General features: G+C 40.7%; 1 protein-coding gene, 1 long non-coding RNA gene and 1 pseudogene across 4 annotated transcripts, besides 1 other annotated feature; 1 reads left to right on the top strand and 2 right to left on the bottom strand.

Moving 5' to 3' along the window:
- Positions 1-263: 263 nt before the first annotated feature.
- PGM5P3-AS1 (PGM5P3 antisense RNA 1) lies at positions 264-16,400 on the bottom strand. Of its 3 annotated transcripts, none has more exons than NR_121190.1 (3): positions 16,274-16,400; positions 9,553-9,745; positions 264-348 (listed from the first exon to the last, which is right to left on the bottom strand). It is a non-coding gene; the product is annotated as a PGM5P3 antisense RNA 1 (long non-coding RNA). The 3 variants fall into 3 exon arrangements; NR_121188.1 differs by lacking the exons at positions 264-348; positions 9,553-9,745 and adding exons at positions 13,792-14,208; positions 14,885-14,941; NR_121189.1 differs by lacking the exons at positions 264-348; positions 9,553-9,745 and adding an exon at positions 13,792-14,208.
- Positions 5,706-6,230: an enhancer, noted in NCBI's record as "NANOG hESC enhancer chr9:82860-83384 (GRCh37/hg19 assembly coordinates)". NCBI's record gives its function as "activates a minimal SCP1, AML or CMV promoter by ChIP-STARR-seq in primed H9 embryonic stem cells {active_cell/tissue: H9 hESC(primed)}" and the evidence as "EXISTENCE:reporter gene assay evidence [ECO:0000049][PMID:30033119]".
- LOC124902106 (protein piccolo-like) lies at positions 13,792-27,093 on the bottom strand. The gene is made up of 4 exons (XM_047424275.1): positions 26,932-27,093; positions 20,981-21,037; positions 14,885-16,051; positions 13,792-14,208 (listed from the first exon to the last, which is right to left on the bottom strand). Exons 1-3 carry the CDS (start codon positions 27,091-27,093, stop codon positions 15,104-15,106), a joined length of 1,167 nt encoding a protein of 388 aa, XP_047280231.1. The 3' UTR covers positions 13,792-14,208; positions 14,885-15,103.
- PGM5P3 (phosphoglucomutase 5 pseudogene 3) lies at positions 15,290-15,946 on the top strand (annotated as a pseudogene).
- Positions 27,094-27,626: the final 533 nt, after the last annotated feature.

The raw sequence follows: 27,626 nt of genomic DNA, 5'->3' as shown, positions 1-27,626 counted from the left end.
TTCAGGTATCAGGAAACTTTGATGAAAGTCGCTTGTCTCATCTAGGAGTCATTTCATATTGTTTAGCAGAGCCTGGTATTAACATTTCCTTCCAACTGTTTACTGGAATCTGTGTGTTCCCTTCAAGTGATGCATACTAGGTGCACAGGCGTCCTGCCACTGTCATCCTAATCTTTCCGTGCAGACAGGAGCAGAGGGGAGAGCGCTGAGCCAGGCCCCAGCTTGCTTTTCTTTCCTGACTCAGCCCGGCTCCGCTGCACTTCTCAGCTCTTGCTGTAGGTGGTGCTGTTTGACCATTTTCTTCATGTGACCCTCCACTCGGTAATATAAATTCATTCGGAGGATGACCTGATATCAAAAAAAAATCCTTTTGATTAGTAGAATCAACTTATTTCTTCACACGATACTCTTCCCATTGAGACACATGGAGACAATTCTGACTCCAGGTTTGCAACCTTGAGATTTCTCTCAGATGCAATAAAAAAACAAAAAAGCATTTTGAGTGGCACAGTGATGCCTAGTGCATGATCATGTTTGTCTGCTCACACATAAAAGGGAAACTGGTGGGTTTGAGGATGCCCAGCAGCAGGACAGCTGCCAATGTAAATGAGCGGTATAGAGAGGGGGGGCGGGAGGGGACTACAAACTTCAGAATATGAGCTGATCGTTTATAAGTTAAAAAAAAAACAAACAAAAAAAAACAAGTCAAAAGGGAGCCCAGGATGGTGCAGGAAAAAGGAGAAAGGAAGATTTTCCTTGCAGCTAATCAGGAGAGTTCATAAGGGCTGATTACATGTGTGGAAGCCTTAAGTTCTTTTTTTTAAAAAATGTGAAAATTTGCATGCATGCATGCATGTATGTATGTATGTATGTATGTATAGCTTCGTGTATTACCATTATTATTGCAATCAGCAAATGGATTTACTTCCTTTATCTCATGGGCTCCTTCCCACTCACTTCTGGCAGCACATTTTCCTTTCTCCTTCATCCCAGAACACCAAAGAACAGATGCGCTTCCTAACCCTGGCTCCAGGGGACTTTATACAATGTAAACAGTGCACCTCTAACGTGGTTCACCGCTTAGAGAACGTGTGTCCCATTTTAAAACTGTGACTCCTTTGTATTTTGCAGTGCTTATTTTAATAAGAGACATTGGACTTGTGACTTATTTTTCATGGAGGAGTGAGCTTAATGGTTGAAAGTAATCGATAAACTTGTTTTTCCTCTGATGCCATCAGCCAAGATCCTATGGCAATAGTAAGAGGATGACACTGGGCTGGCACCCCCTCCATAACATATTTGGACCATTTTTTCCCCCAGAATGCACATGCAATAGCTTCGGTTTGGTAAGAGAGAGATGGTGTACTTGGTTTCCTTCTGTCACACTTTTGGTGAAATGAATTAGACTTTTAAATCAGGAAATTCAGCGAGATGAGTTAGATTTTTACACAAGAGCAGTGGAGGACTTCCAGCTGGTTGGGGGAATGATACGGAAATATCTTGCTAAATCAGGGTCTGGTGGAATGCTGCTCCCCTGGCAGGCTCCTCTTCACAGGGAGCAATCTGTGGGTTGCTTATAGAACAGAGCGAGCAGGAGGCATAGCATGGTCTTGCTCGTGGGAAGACCCGGTGTTCAGATGTTTGTCATTAGGAACTGGGTGTGGGCTTTTTCAAGCTAAACTGAAGCAGCAGTTCTATTAGGAAGAGCCTCTCAGAGCAGCATCTTCTGTTTCTGGATACTCTCCCTTTGAAAAGCCAGATTTCAGCAAAAAGCTTTGCTAATGGTGAAATTGCACAACTGAAACCCTATGGGAGCAATGGGAAAGATGGAGAAAGAGGTGGTTATATCATGTACTTCAACAGTTTATTTAGAGGCTGTTGACGTTAGAATAACAAGCCAAGACAAACAAAAATACTCATTTTGGATGAAAATATTGTCTTTTCATGTTATTATAGATAGCTGAGTCCTAAGACTTATACAGAAACACATTTTCCTAATGAGTGGCTGATTTTTCTGGTTGTGCAAGTAATATCCAAATTATTGTACAAATTTTTGGCTCAGGAGCAAACATTGTATTGCATATTGAGCTAATCACTTGCCCTTTCTAAGGTAAGCCCTTACCTCTGCTTTCCCTTCATCTTGTCATTTCTGTTTGTTGGGTACAGGTTTCCTGTTGGTTCTTTCTGTTGGCTCTGATGTAACATGAATGCAGTTCTTAACATCCTTTCAGACATAAACACAACTTAGCTCATTGTTTCTGAGTTCATATAGAGGTTTTCTTGCCCCTGAGACTTTCATGTCAGACAGCTGGATGTTGCTGTGTTCAAGGCTCTATATGTTGATTTTGTATCCTACAACTTTACTGATTTCACCTATCAGTTCAGTTCTAACAGTTTTCAAATTTTATTTGTTTTTGTTTTCTAAATATTGTATGTTTCATTTTAGAGTCAGGAGGGTAGATGTACAGGTTTCTTACACAGGTATATTGCATGGTGCTGAGGTTTGGGCTTCTAATGATCCCACCACCCAAGCAGTGAGCATAGTAATCGATAGGCAGTTTTTCAACTCTTGCTCCCACCATCCTTCCCTCCCACCTTTGGAGTCCCCCCAGTGTCTATTGTTCCCTTCTTTGTGTTGAGTTCTAACCTTTTTTCAGTGAAGTTTGTAGGGTTTTCTATATATAACAAGATCATGCTGTCAGTAGAGACAATTTCACTTCTTCCTTTCCTATTAGGATGCCTTTTATTTCTTTCTATTGCCTAATTACCCTGAGAAGTGGTGTCTGTGGGCATCCTTGTCTTGTTCCTGATGGTAGAGGAAAAGTTTCAACTTTTCACCATTGATTATGGTGTTAGCTATGGGTTTGTCATATATGGCCTTTATTTTGTTGGGATACAGTCCCTCAATACGTGATCTGTTGGGTGTTTTTTTTTCACCATGAAAGGGTTTCGAATTTTGTCAAAAGCTTTTTCTATATCTATTGAGATGGCCATATAGTTTCTATCCTTTATTTTTCTAATATGGTATATTATATGTATTGATTTGCTTATGTTGAACCATGACATGATCGTGGTGAATGATTCTTTCAATGTGCTATTGAATTTGGTTTGCTAGGATTTTGTTGAGGATTTTTGCATCTATGTAGATCAAGGATATTGGCCTGTCATTTTCCTTTCTTGTAGTGTTCTTGTCTGGCTTTGGAATCAGGGTAATGCTGGCCCTGTAAGATGAGTTTGGAAGTATTCCCTCCACTTCAGCTTTTTGGAAGAGTTTGAGAAGGACTGGTATTAGTTCTTCTTAAAATATTTGGTAGAATTAATCTGGGAAGCCATCTGGTTTTGGGTTTTTCATTGATGGGAGACATTTTCTTACTGATTCAACCTCCTTGCTTGCTATTAGTCTGTTCAGATTTTTTAATTTCTTCATGAGTCAATCTTGGTAGGTTTTATGTGTCTGGGAATTTATCCATTTCTTCTAGATGATCCAATTGGTTAGTGTGTAATTATACATAGGAGTTTCTTAGGATCCTTTGTATTTCTGTGATATTGGCTATGATGTTTCATCTTTCATTTCAGATCTTATGCTATATTGAAAACATGAGGCATAGCAGGTAGGGGGCACTGGTCAGGACTTGGGGTATAAACTGGCAGATGTTAAGGTGGGTGATTCTGGTTAACTCAGAAACTCCAAAGTCCCCTGTGGAAGAATTAACTGCCTGTACTCGCCTAGTAATGTATATCCTTGGTCAAAAAAAGATCCAGCTGAGAATGTTGGATGAAGGGACCAAATCAATATTCATCATTATGTTGAAAACAAGTCAGATTGGCTGCGGTCTTTTGACAGCAGGTCAGTGGCTAAGTCTATTTGAACAAAGTTAGGGCAGGTTCAAGAGAGAATCCTGAGATCGGTATTCTTTGTTCCATACAACCTTGCCTTTCAGTTTCTTCTCCCCATGCCTCCAGGATGTCCCTGCACAGCCTGTAGGGCCCCCTCCTTCAGTACCTTGCCTTACGAAGGGGAGAAAATGAGTTTTCCAATGTTAGCATATATTTAGCCTTCCAAAATTTCTATTTCTATTTTAGGGGAGCTCTAGGAAAACAGCAGATTACTCTAAATCCCCAGGTAAAAATCTGAAATGGTGGAATTTCATATGACCAGGAGACATATTTTGGGGCAAGTGGGCTTTTCACAATCACTTGGACATGAAGGCATCTGCTTCTTCTATGCCTAAAATATTCCTTCAATTTAGTAGTTTAGTTCCTCTTCCTCTTTTTCAGATTTCAAGACAATACATGTACTGACTGAACAATTTGGATCCAAGTTTCACTGTTTAACTGCCAGTGTGACCTTGGGCGAGTCACTTAATCTTTTCAAGGCTCAATTTCATCATGTAAAGTGGAAGTACAAACAATCCCTGACTTACAATATTTTGACTTATGATTTTTCAACTTTAAGATAGTTTGAAAGCAATACACATTCAGCAGAAGCTGTACTTTGAGTACCCATACAACCATTCTGTTTTCCACTTTCAGTACAGTATTCATTATATTACATGAGATATTCAAAACCCACTTTATTATAAAATGGGCTTTCTGTTAGATGATTTTGCCTAACTGTAGGTTAATGTGAGTGTTTAAGGTAGGCCGAGCTAAGCTATGATGTTTAGTAGGTTAAGTGTATTAAATGCATTTTCAGCTTACAATATTTTCATAAGTTTATTGGAATATAACCCCATTGTAAATTGAGGGGTATTTGTAATAATGATATCTCTTCAAGGAGACTTTGTGAGCCTCTCATAGGAAAATGCATACACAGATGCATATAAATATATAATCTTTCTTTTCCATACATATGATATTCTTTAAGGATATTCAAAAATCTGGAAACAGTTGCCTCCAGGGAGATAAATGGTAGTGGGTTGGGAAGCTTTTAACTGTATACGCTTTTGTACCTTTTGCATTTTGAATCAGATGAATGTATAATCTACATAAAATATTAAGATTAAAACATCACCGAATAACTTATCAGGAGTTTGGTGAACATAAGGGAAGGCCACCTATGGTGGCTGTATTTTATTCAGTGTTGGTCACTGTTGGGCACTTCATAGAGCTTATTTCATTTCATCCTCACAAGCGCCGTAGGAGGAAGGGGCCCCAGAGGGATTCATGGTTAGAATAGCAGAGTAGGGGTCTCCCTCTGATGCCGAGCCAAAGCTGGACGGTACTGCTGCCATCTCGGCTCACTGCAACCTCCCTGCCTGATTCTCCTGCCTCAGCCTGCCGAGTGCCTGCGATTGCAGGCGCGCGCCGCCACGCCTGACTGGTTTTCGTTTTTTTTTGGTGGAGACGGGGTTTTGCTGTGTTGGCCGGGCTGGTCTCCAGCTCCTAACCGCGAGTGATCCGCCAGCCTCGGCCTCCCAAGGTGCCGGGATTGCAGACGGAGTCTCGTTCACTCAGTGCTCAATGGGGCCCAGGCTGGAGTGCAGTGGTGTGATCTCGGCTCGCTACAACCTGCACCTCCCAGCCGCCTGCCTTGGCGTCCCAAAGTGCCGAGATTGCAGCCTCTGCCCGGCCGCCACCCCCTATAGGAAGTGAGGAGCGTCTCCGCCCAGCAGCCGCCCCGTCCGGGAGGTGAGGAGCCCCTCTGCCCGGCCACGACCCCGTCTGGGAGGTGTGCCCAGCGGCTCATTGGGGTTGGGCCATGATGACAATGGCGGTTTTGTGGAATAGAAAGGCGGGAAGGTGGGGAAAAAATTGAGAAATCGGATGGTTGCCGGGTCTGTGTGGATAGAAGTAGACATGGGAGACTTTTCATTTTGTTCTGTACTAAGAAAAATTCTTCTGCCTTGGGATCCTGTTGATCGGTGACCTTACCCCCAACCCTGTGCTCCCTGAAACATGTGCTGTGTCCACTCAGGGTTAAATGGATTAAGGGCGGTGCAAGATGTGCTTCGTTAAACAGATGCTTGAAGGCAGCATGCTCGTTAAGAGTCATCACCACTCCCTAATCTCAAGTACCCAGGGACACAAACACTGCGGAAGGCCGCTGGGTCCTCTGCCTAGGAAAACCAGAGACCTTGGTTCACTTGTTTATCTGCTGACCTTCCCTCCACTATTGTCCTATGACCCTGCCAAATCCCCCTCTGCAAGAAACACCCAAGAATGATCAATAAAAAAAAAAAAAAAAAAAAAAAAGAATAGCAGAGTAGGAGCATTTGGCAGCTATATTCTGTGTAGGTGATAACTTTAAAGATATTTTTGTTATAAAATGTTTCAAACATACAAAAAATATAGAGAAGCAGTTTTCTATAGTTATTAAATATTCTTAATGGGTAGTCACAGAAATTATCATCCAAAGTGGGATATTCTTGAGAGAAAAAGGAGGTTCTATTTATAATTATGGTGGGATAACAAACTTAAGATGAACAGCTCTAGACAAACTGGGTTGTATGGTCCCTGGAAAACAAGGATTACTGTAAATGTGAGTCCCGCCTTGTGCTTTTCTCTGTCCCACCAAGAAAATATGATCTTGATACAGATGTTCATTGTGTCAAGGCAACCATGGCAACCATGATCTAGATACACTGTTCAAGTTTTATGCTGATCCTACCTATATATGTCTCAGGAGCTTTCCAGAGTTTCCTTTGAGTGCTTCTAAATTTTGCATAAATGGTATGTTGTCCCTTGTCTCTTTTTAAAACCAGTAAGCCATTTTCCCTTCTTTTCCTGGAAAATTAAAGGAACAAAGACCAGGAAATAACAATGTATTAGCTAAGGTTCTGTTGATTGAAAGCAACAGAACCTAATTCTGGCTAGCTTAAACCATGCTAGGATTTAATGAAGAATACTGCAGAATCTTAGATATCTTATGACTGGGAAAGAGGAGGTTCAGGCAGTTCCTGGGATGTCAGCAACAGGTAGCTGTCAATTAACTGCCCCCACACCACCCACTGCTGCCGTCATCAATATAGCACACCACAATGGCTCCCAGCCTCTGTACGTCTGGGTTCCGGGGTTCAAATTCTAGAGACAGCAAGAGAAATCCCATTGAGTCAGGGATCCTTCACTGGGTCACACTCCCTGCATATGGTCAGAAATGCAGGATTATGTACTAAAGACACAGCTAAAGAGGACCCACTTCACTGTTTTGGGACCATTTGCAGGGGAGGCAAAATTGTGAGCTACGCACTTAAAGAGGTGATAACCATAAGTTTGCAGGAAAAAAAAATTGGAGAAGAGAAGGATAACACTACGCTACAGTTTCTTCTGAAAATGGATGAAGGGAATAGCATTTCCATTTGGAAATTCTCTCCTGGCATTTCAATATTTATGGATTCTGAATTCTGAGAAAAATCAGTTGAGAAATTAGGAAAATGGGAAGGAACATTCTAATTTTCCTGTGAAAATTACAGCTTAATAGTCAGTATAGAGAACTTACTGGCTTGAAGAAATGCACTGACTTCAAGTCAAGCAAGATGAGGAAGCACTGACATGTGGAGACGAAAGTTAAGGTGAACAGGACAGGAGCAGTAAAGGAGCCTCAGTCAGACTTTCTTGTATCTGTTGCTGTGTTACAAGTGTGTGTTCATGGCCTTGTCCACTGCTAACAGTGAACCATTTCTGCAAATAAATATTAATGTGTTCATAGGCATAGTATATGTTTTACAAATCCTATGAGAGGTGTTCTAAGAAATGCCAAGTTTTAGAGACAAAATATGCCCTTAAATCGGCAATTTTGACAGTTGCTTCTTTCTAGTGCTATTCATCTTGCCAGGAGATCAGAATGTTATGTTATTTAGATGGTATTGGAGGGGATGATTGATGCCTTGTTTAACAATGTCATGTAAACAATGATTAAAGCATTAAGTATTTGTGGTGTTACCTTTCAGTCTTTAAAGGACTTTTCTTTAGCATTTATTTTGTGATAATATTCATTTCTTTTTAATGTTTTCTCTATTAATGCTATTGGATTTTATAATCTTGTTACAATATGTTGGCTCATAATAATAATAAATCATCATTTGTTATCATATCTTTTTAAAACAGAAGACTACTAAAACTTTTCATGTAATCCTGTTACAGAAAAAAATGACTATTTGCTTGTTATTATAGTCACTTATTATTTTTCAAAAACTTGTAAGTGAAGTGTTATGAAAATCATATGAATTTGGGAATTCCCAAGCATTCTCAGAAATTCTATTTCCTTGTTCCCAAATCCCAATGATTAATATCTGCCAGGAGTCGGAAAACAGTGAAAGGAAGTAACATCCTATGTTGGATACCTGGTAGGGTTAGTGAAGAAACGTTATTGCTGAGCTCTGTGTTACGCTCACGAATGATGCCATGGAGGAAGTCACACTTGTTGAAAGGAACGCAGATACACAAAGAGTTTTGCTGCTGTCTGTTGGATAAGAACCCCCTGGTCGATTTCAGCTCCTACTGCAAGTTACAAAAATCAATCCAATGATAAATGAAAAGTGACCAGTGTGCTGGGAAATAACTTATTTTTTGGCTTCAGAGGAAATTTTAGAAACAGTGCCAAGTGAAACGTAAAAACAAACTACGAAGACATTCATGAATTTCCCTCTGAAGCTGACAGCCGTATTTTAGCAGATGGAACTCCTACTATTAGCCCAACTCTTGGGTTGAAACAGTGTGTCCAGGAAACCCTATGTTAAAATGCAATGTGTTGGGGATATTGTTCCTCTATTTGCTTGAGTTAATTTTCAAATTAGTGTACTCTTGCTTACCTGTGCTCTGAGGGAATGAACAAAAGATTGGTAAACTCTGATGGAGAACACTGGTCAGGCAGGGCACATAGAATCCCTGGGGATGGTGGTTCCTGACAAATGGGGGAGGAGGACCTGAGCCAGGCTTGGGCTGGGCTGGAGGAACATGAAGATGGGATCTACTCACAACCCCCAAAACAGAGGGGTCCTGATAACACATTATTTCATCCTCAGCCATGCAAATTCATTATTTTTATGGATAAAATAGCTTTAAAAAACTAATTTACATTGAAATGTTAAAATATTTATATGGAGATTAGAAATATTTATATAGAGATTATTGGGAATCCCCTCCTAAAGCCCAAACATAAAAACTACCAAAAAAAAAAAAAAATTCCGTGTAGGCTAAGATTGCAAATGACTGATGGAATGTAATTTAAATTAAACATGGAAAATATATTTCCTCTTTAATAAAGATCTAAATTCTATTCTTTTTAGGAGCCTTCAGAGATGAAATTCAACTATTAAAAAAAGTATAGAGAAGCCTTTAGAAAAGAAACTTTTCTTTTGCTGTATTATATAATAAAGAACTTTGATGAGAATAGTTCTAAAGTGTTTAATAATCGATTACACTGATGTTTCTAGGTATTGTGGGGAATACCTAGAAATTAAATCTTCATCTTTGGCAGATCAGAGGCCTATTATTTTTAGGTAAAACAATTAAAATCTGCTTTTAATAAATCACAAATTTTGCAAGTTAGCCATTAATAGTAAGTGCTTTTCAAAGTTTGGCCCAATACATGAAAAAGCCAGAAAAACATACCTGCATTAGTTTTGCCCATCACCTTCTTATGCTGGCCTCAGGAGATTTATTAACAGCATTCAATATTTTAGGTAGGCTGGATGTGGTGGCTCATGCATGTAATCCCAGCACTTTGGGAGGCTGAGGTGGGAGGATGGCTTGAGGCCAGGAGTTCAAGACCAGCCTGGTCAACCTAGTGAGCCCCTCGGTCTCTCTGAAAAGAAAAAAAAATTTAGGTATCCTGTGGCTACCTCCAAAAACAAACTCCAGAGGAAATGAATTTTTTTTTTATTTCATGTGTTGGGATAATGGCTTCTTTTGCAGTTACTTACGAAGAATTTAAGGGTCAGTAAAAATATTTTTTCATGCTTAATAACATGAATTCTCTAATTTGTGTGTGATATAATGCTAGATATTGTGCCAAAAGTGTTACATAGACATAATCCGTGCCCATTTTCAAAGATAATACTAATATAGAGAATAAGAATCATTATTATTGTAGTAATTATTATTTTAGTAATAGTAGTGATAATCAAAACAATTACATCAAACACTTATTAAACCCTTATTATGTGACAGGTACTGTTTAAGCAATTTCCACATATTAGCTCCTTAAATGTGATCACTAACCCCATGAGGTAGGTAGCATTATGTCCATTTTATAGATGCAGAAACTGAGCTTTGAAGAGGGAAAGCAACTTGCCCAAGGCCATGCAGGCAGTCATTGATAAGGGTGGGAAGCGAGAAGTTGAAGTCTGAGATGTAAGTTCACAGACACGAGTACGCAAACATGTACAAGATACTCGTATGACATGTGGGGTTGCTTGAAATATGTAATTGACTTTCCCCAGCACAAGAAAGTGTTTGGACAGATTTCAAAGGGATCTAACACTTCCTTAGAGGACTGCCCTACGACATTTTTCTGTGTGCTTTTCTGCCTCTTGTCCTATACTTTTGGCATTTCTTCTGCTCTTAGAGGCAATGAGTCAACAGCATATTTTTAGCACCTCCTGTGTGCATAGAAGTGGCCCCTGACTCAATGGGAGTGTATAACTACCATGGGCCAAATCAGCGTGCCTTCCTGTCAGCCAGGGGATTATAGAAGAACACGCTCCCCTGATTCCAACAGAACTTGCTGCCACTCTGATGTCTTCATGGTAAGGCCTCTAAATGAATGTTCCAGAAATTCATGTTAAAGGCACTTGTCATATCTGTAACTTGTAAACATTTGTGTACTTGTCTCTGTGTCCTTACACCTCAGGTTTCAACTCTTGTTTTTACCTTTATCAATGACTACCTGTGTGCTGTGTGGCTTTGGACCAATTGCTCACCCCCTCTAAAGCTCAGTTTCTGCATCTGTAAAATGGATATAATGCCATATATACATAGATATACATACACAAATATATATATACACATATATATGTGTGTATATACATATATATATAATATACAAACTGAAATATATAGTTAAATAAATATTTCAGTTTAAGTTTCAAAAATCACCGGAGGGTATTTTTATAATACCCTTCGGCAATTTTACCTGCTGCCTTTGCACATTCTGGTGAATTTCTAAATGGAAGTCTGATAGAGATTAATCTTTTAATGCATCATAAATAAAAAAGAAAATCACAGAATGATGTAGCTGGAGAGGACCCTGGGGATCTAAAGTGTTTCATGAAAGATTAATGTCCTTGATCTGTTTGTAAGTGTTTTGGAAAAATCTTCCATGGTCAAATAAAACTTGGCAATGTTGGATTAAAGTTAAATAGGTTTTTTTTCCTGCAGAACTTCATAGTCTTTAATATGCTAATGTGTTTTGTGAATCTACAAGGAATGAAGTGTTTCAATACTTATTTTACCCAGATTCTCATTTTGGGACAGGCTGGTCAAGCTGAGTCAGCTAGTATATTCTCTAGATGGAGATGATGGCTGATGCCTTTTTGAGAGCAAGAGAGTCCCCAGGGGAAGCAAGGGTATATCAGTTGCTCCTATTTCATGCCAAGGATCCTCAGTCTTTAGAGGCTCAGAGAAGGCTGAAAGGCTACTCTAGGCTATCAGGGCTACCATTCATTGTGACCCATGCTACAGAGAAGCTTTGAGCTCAGTGCAAAGGAGTGACCAGCCCTTGAGAATCAGGAAAATTTATTTATTCCTGACCTAGTCCACTGAGGACATACAAGGAATGGGGCAGGGGAGGGTCACCAGCTATGGTTACAAGCTAGTCTGATTCTCTTTCATTAAGAAAACTGGTCCCTGTGAGTTTAGATTGGGAAGCACCAGGTTAAAAAATTTTTAGGCCAGGAGTGGTGGCCACTGTACTCCAGCCTGGGTGACAGAGTGAGAATCTGTCTTAAAAAAAAAAAAAAAGTTAAGTGATGTCTTTTGTTGAGGATCTCTCAGAACTTTTAATATGAAAGTGTGCATTGTGAAGAATGGGAGTAGAGTGTACAGGAGTTTTAAAAGCTACTTGGTCATGAAACTCTTGCTTTGTGCAGGATTCAAGGAGCACTAACATTCTGAGGAAAATGTTTTGGGAAACATTGATCTAATCCAAACTTCTCATTTTACCAGCAAACAACTGTGGGGCCCTCTAAGTTTCCTTTCTCCATCATTGTGACAAATTCATTGGAATTAATTCAATTAAACCTGGGGTCAGCTTTGAAGAGATTTATTTAGCAGGTAAATCTGTTTTGTACATTTTGAGGGAGTTCTGAGTTTCCATAGTCAAAAACCACAGATCAATTTAACCAACCTTTATGGAATATCACCTATGGCCCAAAGACCCTTTAGCTACAGTGATGGTCTACGAAAATATAAACTGTAATTCTTGCAATACAGGAGATTAGTAATAATGGTAAATATAATGATGACGACACCATGAATAGCTAACATTTATTGAATGCCTTTCTATTAGTCAGGCACTTTACTAAGTATTTTAATCCTCCCAACAATTTATGAGGTAGGGATTATAATAATTCCCATCTTATAGTGAGGACACTGAGGTTAGGAAATTATCCTAGCCTAAATGTTAAGTATAAGCATGAATAGAAAGGTGTTATCAGCCTATAAGACATTCCTTTATGAGTGATACAAAGTCCTATATAAATTCAGAGAAAAGAAAAGTGGTTTTAGAAATCCTTGATCAGTGAGTGTGAAGCACGTGGTGGCCCGGTTACTGTTTGGTTGCCCATCTGTCCTCCCTCTGGGGATCAGCACCCCCTTACTTTTGAAGAATTGTTTTCCTTTTCACTGTAAGGTTCTTTCTGGCTATGCGGTGGGGCACATTGCCTCAAACTAGCCCTGTTCCAGTCTTTGAGAACCTTGAAATTGGAACCAAGGGAAGAGGATTGCCTCTTGAATGGTAATTCTCTAAAATCTAGTCTGAGGTGCTGGTGCCTAATCCCTGGGTCTGTGGAAGGAGCTGGGCTGTGAGAGGGGAGAATGATGTTGATGTCAAGAGAGAGGCAGGTGCTAGGAGCAGAGAGATGGAGGCCTGGAGGGTTTCTGGGCTTCTCTGAGGCTTAGGGTTTGGATCATTGCCTTCGTTACTGGAACAAAGGATTTACCATACCTGCTCTTCTGGGAATGAAACTGTCCTGCTTTGTAAAATGAAGTGTCATTAGAAAGAGATCTTAAAAACCCCACGCCATAGACAGGTGCACAGATCCCTAGAAGTGTTAAAGTTTTGTCTGTTGGATGCTAAGCCAAGACTCTTAAGTATGTTCTAAAGAGAAACTGGTGTGTGTAGGCTGTGCACTCCCAGGGAGATAAAAAGTTAGGAACTTTATGGGTTGGGCTTGGTGGCTCACACCTGCAATCCCAGCACTGTGGGAGGCTAAAGTGGGCAGATTGATTGAGCTGAGGAGTTCGAGACCAGCCTAGGCAACATGGTGAAACCCCATGTCTACAAAAACTACAAAAACTAGCTGGGCGTGGTGGCATGTACCTGTAGGCGGGAGGATCGCTTGAGCCCAAGAGGGAGAGGGTGCAGTGAGCCATGATTGTGCCACTGCACTCCACCTGGGTGACAGGAACTTTATGGGGAATGGGATCTTGGAGACTGAGTAGAGACTAGAGGAAAAAAAAAAAAACAACACTACCTCCCCGACTGGCCACACTATTCTATTAAAAAAATGTTAATTGACAAATTAAAATTGTATGTATTTACGGAGGTATAATGTGATATTATGATATATGTATACATTGTGGAATAATTAAATCCAGAGAATTAATAGATTCATCACCTCAAAACCTATCTTTTTTGTGGTGAGAACATTTGAAATTTATTGTCTTAGCAATTTGGAAATAGACAATACTTCATTGTTAACTACAGTCACCATGCTGTGCTGTAGATCTCAACAAAATATATTCTTCCTGTCTCAACTAAAACGTTGTACTCTTTGACAACATTTCCCCATTCCTCTCACCCCCTCCAAAAACACCCATTCTTTATGTTGAAGAGAATGGCTAAAAAGTCCCAGCAGGTTTCAACTGACGGCTTCAGTGGTTGTCCCATCACACTTCAATGTTATTAATAAAAAGGGGAGGGGCAATACATAATTCGGACAGGCTGAAAGTACCATTGTAACCACTTTCTTGACTTCACAGAAAAAGTCCTCTTGTTTTCATCTGTAAAATGGGAACTGCGTGAATACCATTCTTCTTTTCTTCAGCCTCCAAAGGAAAAACAGATGCAAAGCCTTTTATCAATTGCAAAACAGTATACAATGTGTGTTATTACTCACAGTTGTCTTACTGTGACCAAACACTTTATAAGCCTGCGGCAAGTCAGCCTTACTCTCAGGAAGTGGACAATATTTGGGGAAGGAGAAGCAGCAGGATATTTCAGGACAGTAGCCTTGGTGGGTCCAAAAATTCCTTGAGAGAAATGGGAGATAGAACTTTCTTCCTGCTTTGAGTTTTATCCTGTTAGTCTTTTCTCTCTTCACTCCTATTTTCTATGGAGAATTTCCTGGTTTTGGAGTTTGGGTGCGTTTTATGGAGAGGAGGCAGAAAATCTTTAGCTCCAGCAGAATGAAAGGGTACATGCAAACGAACCTAGCACAGTATCTGGTACCCAGTTCTCCTTTAACTTGGCTTTATTCATTCACTCCTGGTAGGGCATTAATAAGGGATTCAGCCCCCTCCTACTGAAAACGATTAATTCAGGGAAGAGTTCAGACAGTGTGGACAGATACAGTGTAGGCCAAGCCTGTTTCTAAGGCAGGAGCTGGGTAGGGAGGGTGAGAAGGGCGAGAAGAATAGGGAAATACGTGTCGTCTGTGTTGCTGCTGTTGCTACCACCACAACAAACAAATAAGTGAAAAAAAAAAAAAAGAATTGTCCATACCGGAAAGTGTGCTGTTTTGGAGGAGGCTGGGGCAAGTGTGGATGGCTCGAGTGGGTCCTGTTGGATTGAAGTCTGACAGTGGTGATTCCCTTCAACAAATGGTCGGGGTGGGAGGGTACACACACACACACACACACACACACACACGCACACACACACACACACACACACACGCAGCGCCCGGCCTCCGATTTCAGCGCTGGCAGGAGATAACCATTCTTAGCTCGCCTTTCCAGGGTTGTTTTTGGCTGAGGCTGTTCGCTGATGGCAAAAGGTTTCAGCCCCCTCGCAAATCCCTCCCCGTCCTTGTTCTAAAGAGAAACTGGTGCGTGTAGGCTGCGCACTCCCAGGGAGACGGGACGGGCCTGGCGCCGGAGAGGAGCCCGCACTCTGCACGAAGTCTCGCCGCCCGCCGGCTGTTTTCTGGCGGAGGGTGCGCCCCGGAGGGCGGCGAGCGCGGGTGGAGGCGTCGCCGGGGTCGGGCCAGCAGGCTCTGGGATCGGGCTTGTGGGACACCCCGACAGTGAGTCCCACTTGGGGAGAAACTGAGGGCAGCTCGGGCGGTCTGGCAGCGGAGAAGGTGGGCGGGAGAAAACCTGGCAGCGAGGCAGAAGCAATCCCTGCCGGGGGAGTCAGCGAGCGGCGGCGCGGAGAGGAGGGGCGGGCGGTCCCCGGGCGGGCGGGTGCAGGGCGCGGGGCGCCGACCTGCTGGAGAGGGGGCCGGGCGCGAGGCGGAGTCCCGGCGCGCAGCCAGGCTGGCGGAGGCCCCCGGCCGGCTGCGGATTCCCTCCGGCCCCGGAGCCGCAGCAGGACCGGCCGGGAGGCGCCGCGGAGGGGAGCCCCATCCCGGTGCGGACAGTGCCCACCGCGCCCCGCGAGCACCGGCGACCCACCGGCCTCTTCCAGGGCCAGCGCAGCTACCCGCCCAACTTCATCCGGAGCGCGCTGTCGTCCGTCGGCCTGCGCGACCGTCAGGGCCGCACCACGGGGGCGGGCAGCGACGGCAGGTTCTTCGGCAGGACGGCCGTCGAGGTCGTGGGGCCGATGGCCGCGGCCAACGGGGCGAGTGTCCGGATGCCCCTCGCTTCCCGCCGCGCCGCCGCCGCGCCCTCTCCTGGCCCTTGTCCGCCTGCTGCCTCCGGGCCCAGCTGGGAGGCCCCTGCCCGGCTTTGCTCCCGCACTCCCGCGTCCTCACCCTCCAGCGCCCCACTCCCGCCGCGCTCGCAGCCTCCCCGGCGCACCCCGGACACTGGGTTCTATTAGTACCCACCGCCCCCAAAAGCCCTCAGGGGTTTCCGTCCTTCCTGGAGCCACTCCGGGCGCCCTGGACTCTTCTCCGACTCTGCCACATCCCGCACCTGCTCATTTTTCTTTCGGACATTCTCTTACCCGGCCCTGTAGATTCCAAGGCGGCTCCCAGTTTTCCATATTGTTCCCAACGCGTTCACTGCCCACAGTCCCCACACAAACTTCTTTCGCAGGCTCACAACATAGTCCCTCTGCCCCGTGCCCTTTTGCAATAATCTGCCAGTCCCCTAAGTCTTAGCTCTGCCTATTTAACAGTAGTGGTGTCTCAGAACACACACACACACACACACACACACACACACACACACACACACACACACGATCCCTGACATATTTGGCAAGAGTAGGCCCTGAAGGTTTTTAATATTTTGGTTCTTTAACCCAGTGGAATTACTGAATGATTTATTTAATTAGGGTAGGGATGGAGTGGATCCATTTGTTTGATGCTAAACAGCCTGAGCTCGCAGTTCCCAGGGGGCATATCTCTAAATGGTCTGAAATGAGATTTGCAGTGGTTTTCTTAATGCAATTCCCAACTTCTCTCCAAATGCCTTTTGACATTTGGCAACATTTCATGCCTCTTCCCCTTTCGGTTTTCATCCTTGTTTTCTCTCCCTTCTCCCACGACCTCGGTAGTCTTCTGCAATCCAGATTCTCAGACTTCGGGTTTTTCTCCCTCTGCCCCTTTCCTCTCTGTCCTATAACTAGAAGCACCTTTTGGCATAGACCCATATCCCAGTTTCCTCTTTCCCAGGTCCAGCAGCATCTCAAGGACATCTACAAGAGGGATACCTAATTTCAGGGGTCTCTGAATTGTATGTGGGAAACATCGTCTAAAAAAGTAATTTTATCCTTATTCATGCAACCAGACCCACACTCATAGAACTTTTCTTTAAGGGGAGTGTCTTGCAGATGTATAAATGAGTGTTAACATCTTTAAAAGCGAAACTGAACAATTCCCTGGCATTTGAATTCCCTCCTTCCTTCCCAACCCTCTCCTTTTCATTTTCTCATTTATTATTAAAAACATTTTTAAAGGATCTCCATGCTTCATATTTATCTACTATAATTCCTCCTTCTCGGTGTTGCAGGGATGGGGAAAGAGGATTTTTTAAAAACACAATAAAAAGCAATTGGGAGAAACAGGGCCAGTGGTGTTGGGGTGGGTAGTGGAATTGTGATTTTTGACTCCAGTAGACAATGATGCTGGATATATGGGGTTTGATTTCTCTCTGGCTCCTCAGTTGGGATTGATGAAGTTTGGCTAGAATCAGGGAGTTGAAGAGAGGTTGACAAATGGTCTTTCACTCTTCTCTGACAGGCTGTTCCTGTGGAGTGATGGAGAATAATGAGCCTTGGGAAAGCTATGGGAGCTCTCATACTCCTTCCCGAGCCAATTTTTTAGGGAGTGAGAGAAACATGGCCTGTCCAATACTTGTTGTGGGTCAGGATATTTTTGAAGCTACGGTTGTTGATTTGCATGGGAAAATTATTATGTCTTATTATTTCTTGTCCCACTTTACCATAAGGGCTCCTCAGCTTCTTACTTCAATGGGTCTTCCATGACAAACACACTTTATTAACTCTAAGAGTGGAATTTATTTTAACAGATAATTAGCATAGGTCAATATATGCTTAAAATAGAGTCAAATTAAACCTACTAGCTGTTATAAAGGACAGATGACAAATTAAAATCCACATAGAAGCATCGACTCTTAAATAATCTGAAAGTACTACTTCTAAGAGGGGTGGGCATGGGTGAAGGGAATGGTGGACATGTTTCAGAATTTCAAACAGCCAACTTTAACCAATCTTTTCCTCATTTTGTTCACCTTCTTGGGGGCTTATGCTAAAGTGAAGTGAATAGCCATAAGGCTGGCTTCAGGAGAAAGGTGGTCTAAAAGAACTGGATAATTATAAGCAAAATTGGTCTCGAATGATTGAAAATTGATGAGAATGTGCTTGTCTCCTGATTTGGCATCCTGAGTTAGACTCAGGAATACTGAACTTGGATCCCAAAGGCTTTGGTCTTTTTTGATATCCTATTGGATAATCATAAGCAGGCTAGAAAAATAGGAAACTAGAATTTATTCTCTTTGAACTGACAAATCTGACCAGTGGGCTGCATTCTCTATATCTGAAAAATCTTGGTTTTGATTGAAAAAGTTAATTTTACAAAGCAATTTTCTTTTTTTAAATTAAATTTCATTTTTTTTTTTTGAGACAGGGTCTCACTTTGTTGCCCAGGCTGGAGTGCAATGGCACAGTCTTGGCTCACTGTAGCCTTGACCTCCCCAGATTCAGGTGATCTTCCCACCTCAGCCTCCTGAGTAGCTGGGGCTATAGGTGCACGCCACTACGCACAGCTGATTTTTGTGTTTTTACTACTCATAGGGTTTCTCTGTGTTGCCCAGTCTAGTCTCAAACTCCTGATCTCAAGAGATCTGCCTGCCTTGGCCTCCTAAAGTGTCATGAACCACCATGCCCAGCCTACAAAGCAATGTTCTAGGAAAAACTAGTTACTCTTTGATTATGTAATTGCTGGAGAAGAAAAGCGTGGCATTTCTAAAATGATGAACTATATTACTTATATTTTAATATCTCATAAAGTTTGAAATAGACATTTCAAACATAAACATGTATAAAAATTTTTATAAATTAAAAATATAAAATCAAAAACATTATAAAATTATTATAGAATCAAAAACACTATAAATTTAAACAACTTTTTTAAAAATTTATTTTGGGATTTCCCATGGAGTGATGGAGAATAATGAGCCTTGGGAGAGCTATGGCAGCTCTCATACTCCTTCCTGGGCCAACTTTTTTAGGAAATGGGAGAAATATACCCTGTTCAATGTTTATTGTGGGTCAGGATATTTTTGAAGCTATAGTTGTTGATTTGCTTCAAACTTTAAAAAATTTATTATAAAATTATGGGATGTAAAAAAATTTATTATAAAACTTTGAAATTTTCAAACTTTCAGAAAAGCAGAGAGATGAGATTAATGGCACTCATAGGCAAACATAGAACATAGATTGTAAACATTTTGCTATATTTGTGTCATGATTATTTTTTGCTTGTGTTTGAAAGTATATTAAAGAAAATGATATTTTACCCCTAAATTCTTTAGTGCAGATTTCTAAAAAATAAGAACATTTTCCTGTATGGTTACAAAATCATCTTTTCAAACAAAATAAAAAATAGTTTTTTTATATCATTTATTACCCAGTCCACATTCAGATTTCCTCAATTATTATGAAATGTCCTTTTATTTTTTGAGACAAAGTCTTGCTCTTTCACACAGCCTGAAGTGCAGTGAAACAATCATAGCTCATTGCAGCCTCAAACTCCTGGGCTCAAGTGATCTTCCTGCCTCAGCTTCCTGAGTAGCTAGGACTATAGGTGCACACCACCATGCCCAGCTAATTTATTGTTTTTGTAGAGATGGAGGTCTTACTACGTTGCCCAGGCTGGTCTCAAACTCCTGGCCTCAAGTGATCCTTCCAGCTTGGTCTCCCTGAAATATCTTTTGTGGCTGGTTTGTTCAAATTAGTTTCTTCTAATCAAGGGACACACATTGCATTTGATTATTTAGCTCAAGACTTTTTTAACCTGGAAAATACCCTCACTCTTTGTTTATGTATTTATTTAATGAAATTGACTTGTTGAAAAACTAGTCAGTGGTCCTGTAGAATATTTCCCCTTCTGGAATTTTCTGGTTGCTTTTTATGGTGTCATTTAACTTTTCACTCTGTTTTTTCCTGGTTAACTGGAAGTTAGTTCTAAAGGCTTTTAGGCCTGGTATAACAAAATACCAAAAACTGGATGACTTATAAAGAACAGAAATTTATTTCTCACAGTTCTAGAGACTAGCAAGTTTAAGATCAAGGAGCATGCGGTTTTGATATCTGGTTAGGACCAACTTTCTGGTTCATAGATTGGCCTTCTTGCTGGGCCCTCACATAGTGGGAGAGACTAGTTAGCTCTCTGGGGCCTCTTTTATAAGGGCACTAATTCCAATCATGAGGGCTCTGTCCTTATGATCTAATGACCCCCTAAAGGCCCCACCTTTTAATACCAGCACCTTTGGGGTTAGGATGTCAACATATTAATTTTGGGAAGACATACACGTTCAGCCCATTGCAAGGTTTAGTTAGATTCAGGTTCAACTTCTTTTTTTAAAGACTATTTCATAGGCAATAATGTGTATTCACATCCCATCATCAGTGATGGTGAGATGATCGCAAGGTTAGGGCGATCACTGCCTATCTCCTCTGTTATATTCCCCCTTGGGTCAAGCCAGTAGTCTGTGACGTGAACTTTGTACCATGTGTATATTCAGTTATATTCTGTATCAATATTTACTTGATTGTTTTAGCATTTATTAATGATCCTTGCTTGAGTTGATTATTTCATTAGGGGTTTCAAAATGGTGAATTTCTAATTCTCTAATTCTATCTACATGTTTTAGCTGGCATTTTTCTATAAGCAGACCATTTTCTTCACAACTGGGTTATTTGGCTACCCTGAAACATAGTTCCTTCCGGGAAGGCAGAACATATGTTTATTTCTGTCTTTTAAAAATTACTGGTGTTTGGAGTGAAGATTAGGTGAGTTAACTACCTCCACAGGTGACAAATGAATTTTGTTTTGTCTCACTTTTGCTTTTTTGAATATCACTGTGGCTGCTTGGATTTTTATATTTAATTTGAATGGATTAGGGAATAAATGAGAAGATAGGTTTTATCTGTTTCTGTAGTTTTTATGTGGCTATGTGAACTTACCTTTAAAAATTCCCAGAAATATTTTAATTCCCCTTTAAAGATATAAACTATGTCATACTATAAAGCAAAAGAAAAACCAATCATGTGAAGAGTAAATAGTATCGTTTAAATGAATTGTGGTTAAGCTTAGTTTGTAACTAATTAGTTTTTAATTTTCTTTCTACTTTTATCTGCTTCAGAGCCTCTTCAGTGGTTTAGATCTTCTATGTGTCAAATTATTCTAATCTCTTAAAAAGTTTAAGAGCTAAAATACAACACAATGACTACAAGAATGCCTTTGTCCTTTTCTGGGTGGGTACACCTAAGGCAACTTCTTTTTCTCTTCTTTGTTCTCTTCTTCTTTCTTATTCTTAAATCATCTTCAATATTGGACAGATGACAGCACTATGCCTGCCTCAAGATGTTTCTGACTTTTTCTTTTTCTTTTTTCTTTTTTTTTGAGATGGAGTCTTGCTCTGTCACCCAGGCTAGAGTGCAGTGGCGCAATCTTGGCTCACTACAACTTCTGCCTCCTGGGTTCCAGTGATTCTCCCAACTCAGCCTCCTGAGTAGCTGGGGTTACAGGCATGCACCACCACGCCTAGCTAATTTTTTGTATTTTTACTAGAGACGGGGTTTCACCATGTCGGCCAGGCTGGTCTTGAACTCCTGACCTCAAGGGATCTGCCTGCCTTGGCCTCCCAAAGTGCTGGGATTACACGTGTGAGCCACTGCGCCCGGCCGTTTCTGACTTTTTCTAAAGTCTTCTTTCTCTGGAGATGACATTATATAATAGCACTGTTCAATAGAAGTTTCTTTGATGATGGAACTGTTCTATAATCTGCATTGTCCCAGCTACTAGCCATATGTGACTACTGTAACACTTGAAATGTGGCTAGAGCAACTGAAGAACTGAATTTTGCATTTTACTTAATTTTAATTAATTAAAATAGAAATGCAAATAACCATAAGTGGTTAGTAGCTACCATACTGGACAGCAAAGATCTATAATTCAGCATTTAAAATCGATTTTGTTTTGTTTTCAAAAATGGAGTCAGACTGTTACAACCCAAAAGAACTGTAGGTTAAATTAAGGTAAATCACCAAATACTACATACACATTTGGGAAATCCAAACCAGATTTTTTCATGTGATAACCACACCCTCTTTTGACTTTAGCCTTGGAGGTAATGGAGTATGGCAGAAAAAACCCTGTATCAGCAGCTGGAAGACTCACCTTCTTTTCCTAGCTCTGGCATATATTGACCAAAAGAGTCGAAGTCCATTCAGATGGTTGAGGGGCCTTGGAATTTTGTTTTTGGTTTTCACATACAAGTTGGAGGGCAGATGCGTTAGCCTCTTGAAATACCCAGAAACCACTTGTTTCCTCATCTAAAAATCAGGTATGACAGGATCATTTAATTATCCTGGAAATCAGATGAAGCACTGCATATGAAAGCACTTTGTAACATCGATAGCACTGGGAAATGTAAAGACCTTTTACTGAAATATAAAGGTGTATGGTCAACTGAATATATCTCAGATAATTATGATTTGACTGTATATATTGAATATAACCTGTAGTGGGCCCCTTGGTAAACAGCTTACAGTTTTGTTGCAAGTTTTAGCCAAGAGAAAATTTATTTGTTGACTAGTCATGCACTTTATTGGCCACATGATGAGCAGCAATGATATTAACACACAGTGCACCTTGCAGAATTCAAGAATGTCTCAGTGTCTTGTGAACTAGGAAGCTGAAATGCAGTGGTATGCAGAAGGCTGGCTCAGTAGGAGCCTTGGGAGTGTCCTCCAGATAGATGTTTGTGCAGGTTGTATTTGATTCCAGTTGGCCATGAAAAGCTGGTTGCTCTAAAGAATGAGAATATACTTGGTTTTGCATTTACTAGAACTATCTGGGGAACAAATCTTGGGGTGGAAGAAAGAAGGGAGGGAGGGAAAGCTGTGCTTCAATACCTAGGGCTTCTTTCCTGGAATGGATCTGAGAATCTGGGATTGGGTGGCTAATATCTCATCTCTAGAAGGGAGAAAGAACTGGGTGGTGATGGCTTTGTATTTTCTACTGGCGTTCACTACAGAATAGGTGAATGGAATGGGCTGCTATGATCCAGACATTAGGGAGGACAGGTTTGTGATACATTAGAAAACTTGAATGAGCCCTTCTATGATTCTCTCTTCTCTCTTTCTGCTTCCCTTTCTGAATCACCATCCCCAGGTTGTGGAATTAGCAAATCTATTATGTGAGCAATAGCAAACTTACAGGAGCCCTTGGCTCCATCTCTCTCCCTGTTTGTGTCAGTTCATTCTGGATGCTTTTAGTCTGTGGTCTTCATTCACTCTTTTTATGGGGAAGTAAAAGGAGTGGGACAGATTATGAGAACAGCTGGGTCCTCCCAGTTGCTGGGGTGGTTATTTTAAGCTTTGTTTAATGTGTCCAGAGACCCAGATGGCATTTTTAACTAAGCTGCTTTATTAAATCTTGTGATAAAGCATAGTGATGTTTATTGAAAAGGCAGACACACATCAGCAACATTATGCGTGAAACTTGCTCTAAGAATTTTCTATAAAACATCTGTTCTCTTTGAGCCTTTTGTGAACTCTGGAAGTTTGCTAGTTTCTATACAGACTTGAGGACAAGAAGTTGGTACCCACTTTTGGAGATGTCCAAGCATAGGTATTGGAATCATTAATCCTAACCCTTTCAGTTTTAAGGCCCTGGATACCCTTCTGTTAGACAACAGTAACATGAGCAAGCACTGTAATAACATTTAAACAAGATTATTTGGAAATAATGGACAAGAAAAATTAGTATAAATTGTTTGGGGATTTTAAAATTAAAGATAAAAAGCTAGGGCTTCAATGACCTGTGCCAGCCTATAGCCTTAAGAGTCAATTTGCAAACACTCAAGATTTGGCCAATATGCCTCTACTACTTCTACTTAACACAGTCAAAGGGAAATTTTTAGATTCTTTCATCTGATTTGACTCTCTTAGTTACGAATAAGAGGATATCTAGAATATATATGTGACTTGTTAAAATGAAAATCCACCTTCTCTGAGTCTTCAAATATCTTTCATATCTTACATTTTTAGTAACATCAACTTTTGAAGTCATGTCCGTAGTTGCATGAAAAGAAAAATTTCAGGAACATTCAACCTCAAAAGTTCTTTTTCTTAGTCTGAAGTCGTAGAAGCATTTGACTTTTACTTTCTCTTTTTAAGTTTGTACTAGTAGGTATTTTGTATAAATATAATATTTAATTATTGCCTTCGTATTCTTTTTCTCTAGTAAACATCCTGGTTTTTAGCTATCAATATGTAGTTTTACATTTAGGGATTTCTAATGGAAAGAGAAAGGAATCTGAAATCAGAGGACAAGAGTTTATTCTACTTGACCAAACACATACAAAATACTGGAAGGAGAGTTTTACAACAAATATTTAATGTCTATGACATGTAAAAAGGTTTTCCAAATCAAGAAAATTCAAACAATTCAATACAAATATCATCAATACTAACACATGAACAGGTGGCCAACCTTATTAATAACCAGAGAAATACAAATTAAAACAATCCATCAACTTGTAAAAAAGATGAAATTACCCAGAGTTGGTGTAGGTGATGGAAAATTGTCATGTTTGTATACTGTTCATAGAAGTTAAATTGACATAACTTTTTGGTCAGGCAATTTGGAAGTATATATCTAAATTAATAGAGTAGTTTTCTAATAACCTGGGAATCTCTTAATCTAAGAATCTTTACTGTAGATTTTTCTAGAACAAATGTACAAACATCTATGTACAAGGGTACTCACTGCAGCATTTTGCTAAGGAAAAACTCAGAAAAAATCTATATGTTCAACAGAGAACAGGTACATAATTTATGACACAACCGCACAATATACACCACTAAAATAAAGGATATAAATTTATATGTAGTATGAAAAAGATGTGAATGATAGCTTATTGGTGAAAAACAGCAATGACTGGAATATTGTGTGTAACGTAATCCTGCTTTTCTGTATATAATGTAGGCATAGAAAATAGGATTGAAAGGACATACTGTAGTCAACAGTGGATATAGCTTTGGTGGAGGGGGTGTATAATGGGGAAGGAGAGTCCCTTTTCCTATCTATTCCATATACATCTCTGGATTGAGAAGATCATACATGCATATGCATTACCTTCAAAATTAAAATGATAAAGACAAAAGGAGAAGCTTTGGATTTGAATCATGATACTACTGTTTGCAACTTATATGACCGTGGGGAAGTCGCCTAGCCTCCTGGGGTTTATTTCCTCATTTATAAAAATAGGGAAAGTAATAATACTTGTCTACATATCTTCTAGGGTTGTTGGGAGGATTGAATGTGATCATGGGTTACAGCATTATGAATTATTTATTCATATAACACAATTATTATAAAAATATTTTGCTCTGATTAAAATAAAAGAAGGACGAGATCGTGTGTGTTTTTTTCCCAGTAGCTTTACTAACCAGAAAGCGCCTGCTGATGTGGTGATCACAGTTGCTTTGGTGCAGCTTCCTCTTGACTTTTGGCATTTCTCCATGCTGCTAGCTAAAGCTGAGGTGGCGACTGTTGAAGGTGTGAGCTCCTCCCCCTCCCGGCACACATTTGTGTGCGTACTCACACTCATGCACACACAAACACACACATGCACACTCTATCACAGTACATGAGGTGGCAGCAGCTGCTCCGGCATAGACTTTCACACAACATAAAGGGCTTTTTTGGTGTGGTCTGTGCATTATTTCCTGTTAAGCATGAGCTGAGTCAGTGCCCTGCTTTTCCATCTGAAACCTTTCTGAGGCTCAGGCTGTGTTAAGAGCAAACCCTCTCCCCTCCATGCCCACCCCATGGCCCTCTATTGAAGCCAGATCTTAATCTGCTCATTGCATGAGGATTTTCAAACCGAATGGACTGGGCCATGTGAGAGATCACTGAAAGGAACAGACCAAGCAGAGGCTAAGAGACTCCACGTTAATCTGCTGAGTCGTCTGAAAATGCACAGCTGTGGGAGCTCACGGTGCTTTAAAGTACTTCGGCAGGATGTTTGTTCAGGGGGCCTGTTCCTGCAGCCCTGCTGAATGTTTGGTTAGGAGGCATAATCTTTTTTTGGACAGGATCTCCCAAATGTAAAGTGATAGATGCGAATGTGGAATATAATACGGAAGATCCAGCTTGGATGTCATAAATAACAATAAATTGTTTAATCTTGCTGAGCTGTAAATCTATGATTGCCAGAGGTCTTTAGTTCACTGGAACATAGTATGGGGGCAGGGGCACTTAGCAAATAGGCAGTTATTATTTTCCAACCAGACAGAAACTGGTCTGATGGAATTTATCTAAAAAGGCATACACATGTATTTTAATTAATTGTGACAATTACTCAGAGAAAACACATGGCCCTAAAGAGGCTGAGGGGTTTTTTTGTTCTACCTATAAATGTATATGTATATTCACCTATATTCTACCTATGTATAAGTAAGAGAATGAGTTTTTGTTTTGGGGATATATATTTATACGTATCTATACAGATATGTATAATTTCTGTCTTAATTTCTGTCTACCTATTAAGGTGCGGTGCCAGATGGAAAGTATTTTTAAGCATTTAGATAGCTTATTCTATAGCATATGTGTGCATATAGCCCCCCCATAAAGCTTTGTCTCTTTTCTGGATATATTTAACAAGAGGCTAGAACAGAGTCCAAAATGTCAGAAATGTTTGAATATTCCATAGAAATGAAGGAGGTGTTTCCAAATGACCTATGTTTCTATGGCAATAAATAGAACTTGTGCTGCGTTGGATGGGTCAGGAGTAAGGAATATAAACAGTGTAAGTATGACTATTCCAGGCAGAAATCTACCTTGTAAGAACAGCTTTGTGCAGTGAGCTCAACAACATTGATCAGTTAGCAGTCCGGTTCAGTACAACACTGATCAGGTAGCAAGCCGGTTTGGCAGTGCCAGTCGGAGACACAGATGGGGACAATCGAAGAAGATGCAGGTCAGGACAAGGATGCAGACATGTACCTGTCACTACCATGGACTTCAGCAGCTTCTTAGCAGGTTTATGATTAAAGAAGAAAGACATCGTTGATATGTAAGCATGTTACAATTAATTTGCTGTTTAGTTATTAGCAAACTACATCCAGTTTTTAGTTTTTAGGTTTTTTTTTCTTTTTTCTTTTTTGAAACAGATTCTTGTTCTGTCATCCAGGCTGGAGTGCAGTTGTTATCCAAGCTCACTGCAGCCTTAAACTCCTGGGCTCAGTGGATCCTCCCACCTCAGCCTCCCAAGAAGCTGGGACTACAGGTGCACGCCACCATGGCCAGCTAATTTTTCCTATTTTTTTGTAGAGATGAGGTCTTGCTGTATTGCCCAGGCTGCTCTTGAGCTCCTGGCTTCAAGCCATCCTCCTGTCTTGGTTTCCCAAAATGCTGAGACTATAGGTGTGACTCACCATGCCTGGCCTACATCCAGTTTAATTTATACTACAGTGTGGGTTTAGTCCTCAAACATGTTTTTGTTTTACATATAAAAATTTGAGATCAAAGAACATTTTTACATTGGTCAATAATGGTACATTTAAACAACGGACGACTATATCCATTAAAATCGTGTTG

Source organism: Homo sapiens, chromosome 9 (genome assembly GCF_000001405.40).
Source record: "Homo sapiens chromosome 9, GRCh38.p14 Primary Assembly".
Lineage (NCBI taxonomy): Eukaryota > Metazoa > Chordata > Mammalia > Primates > Hominidae > Homo > Homo sapiens.
Note: the sequence above shows the minus strand (reverse complement) of the source record. Positions and strands in the feature narration are given on the sequence as shown.

Bases quoted from the DNA above. Each gene is read 5' to 3' on its own strand.
- LOC124902106 (XM_047424275.1), bottom strand. From the start codon at position 27,093: ATGTCTTTCTTCTTTAATCATAAACCTGCTAAGAAGCTGCTGAAGTCC. The intron at 21,038-26,931 runs GTACTGAACCGG...TTTGCTTTATAG, and splicing joins CTTGCTACCTGATCAGTGTT to TATGACATAGTTTATATCTT. The intron at 16,052-20,980 runs GTAAGTTCACAT...GCGGGAGCAAAG, and splicing joins ATTTCTGGGAATTTTTAAAG to CCGGGCAGGGGCCTCCCAGC.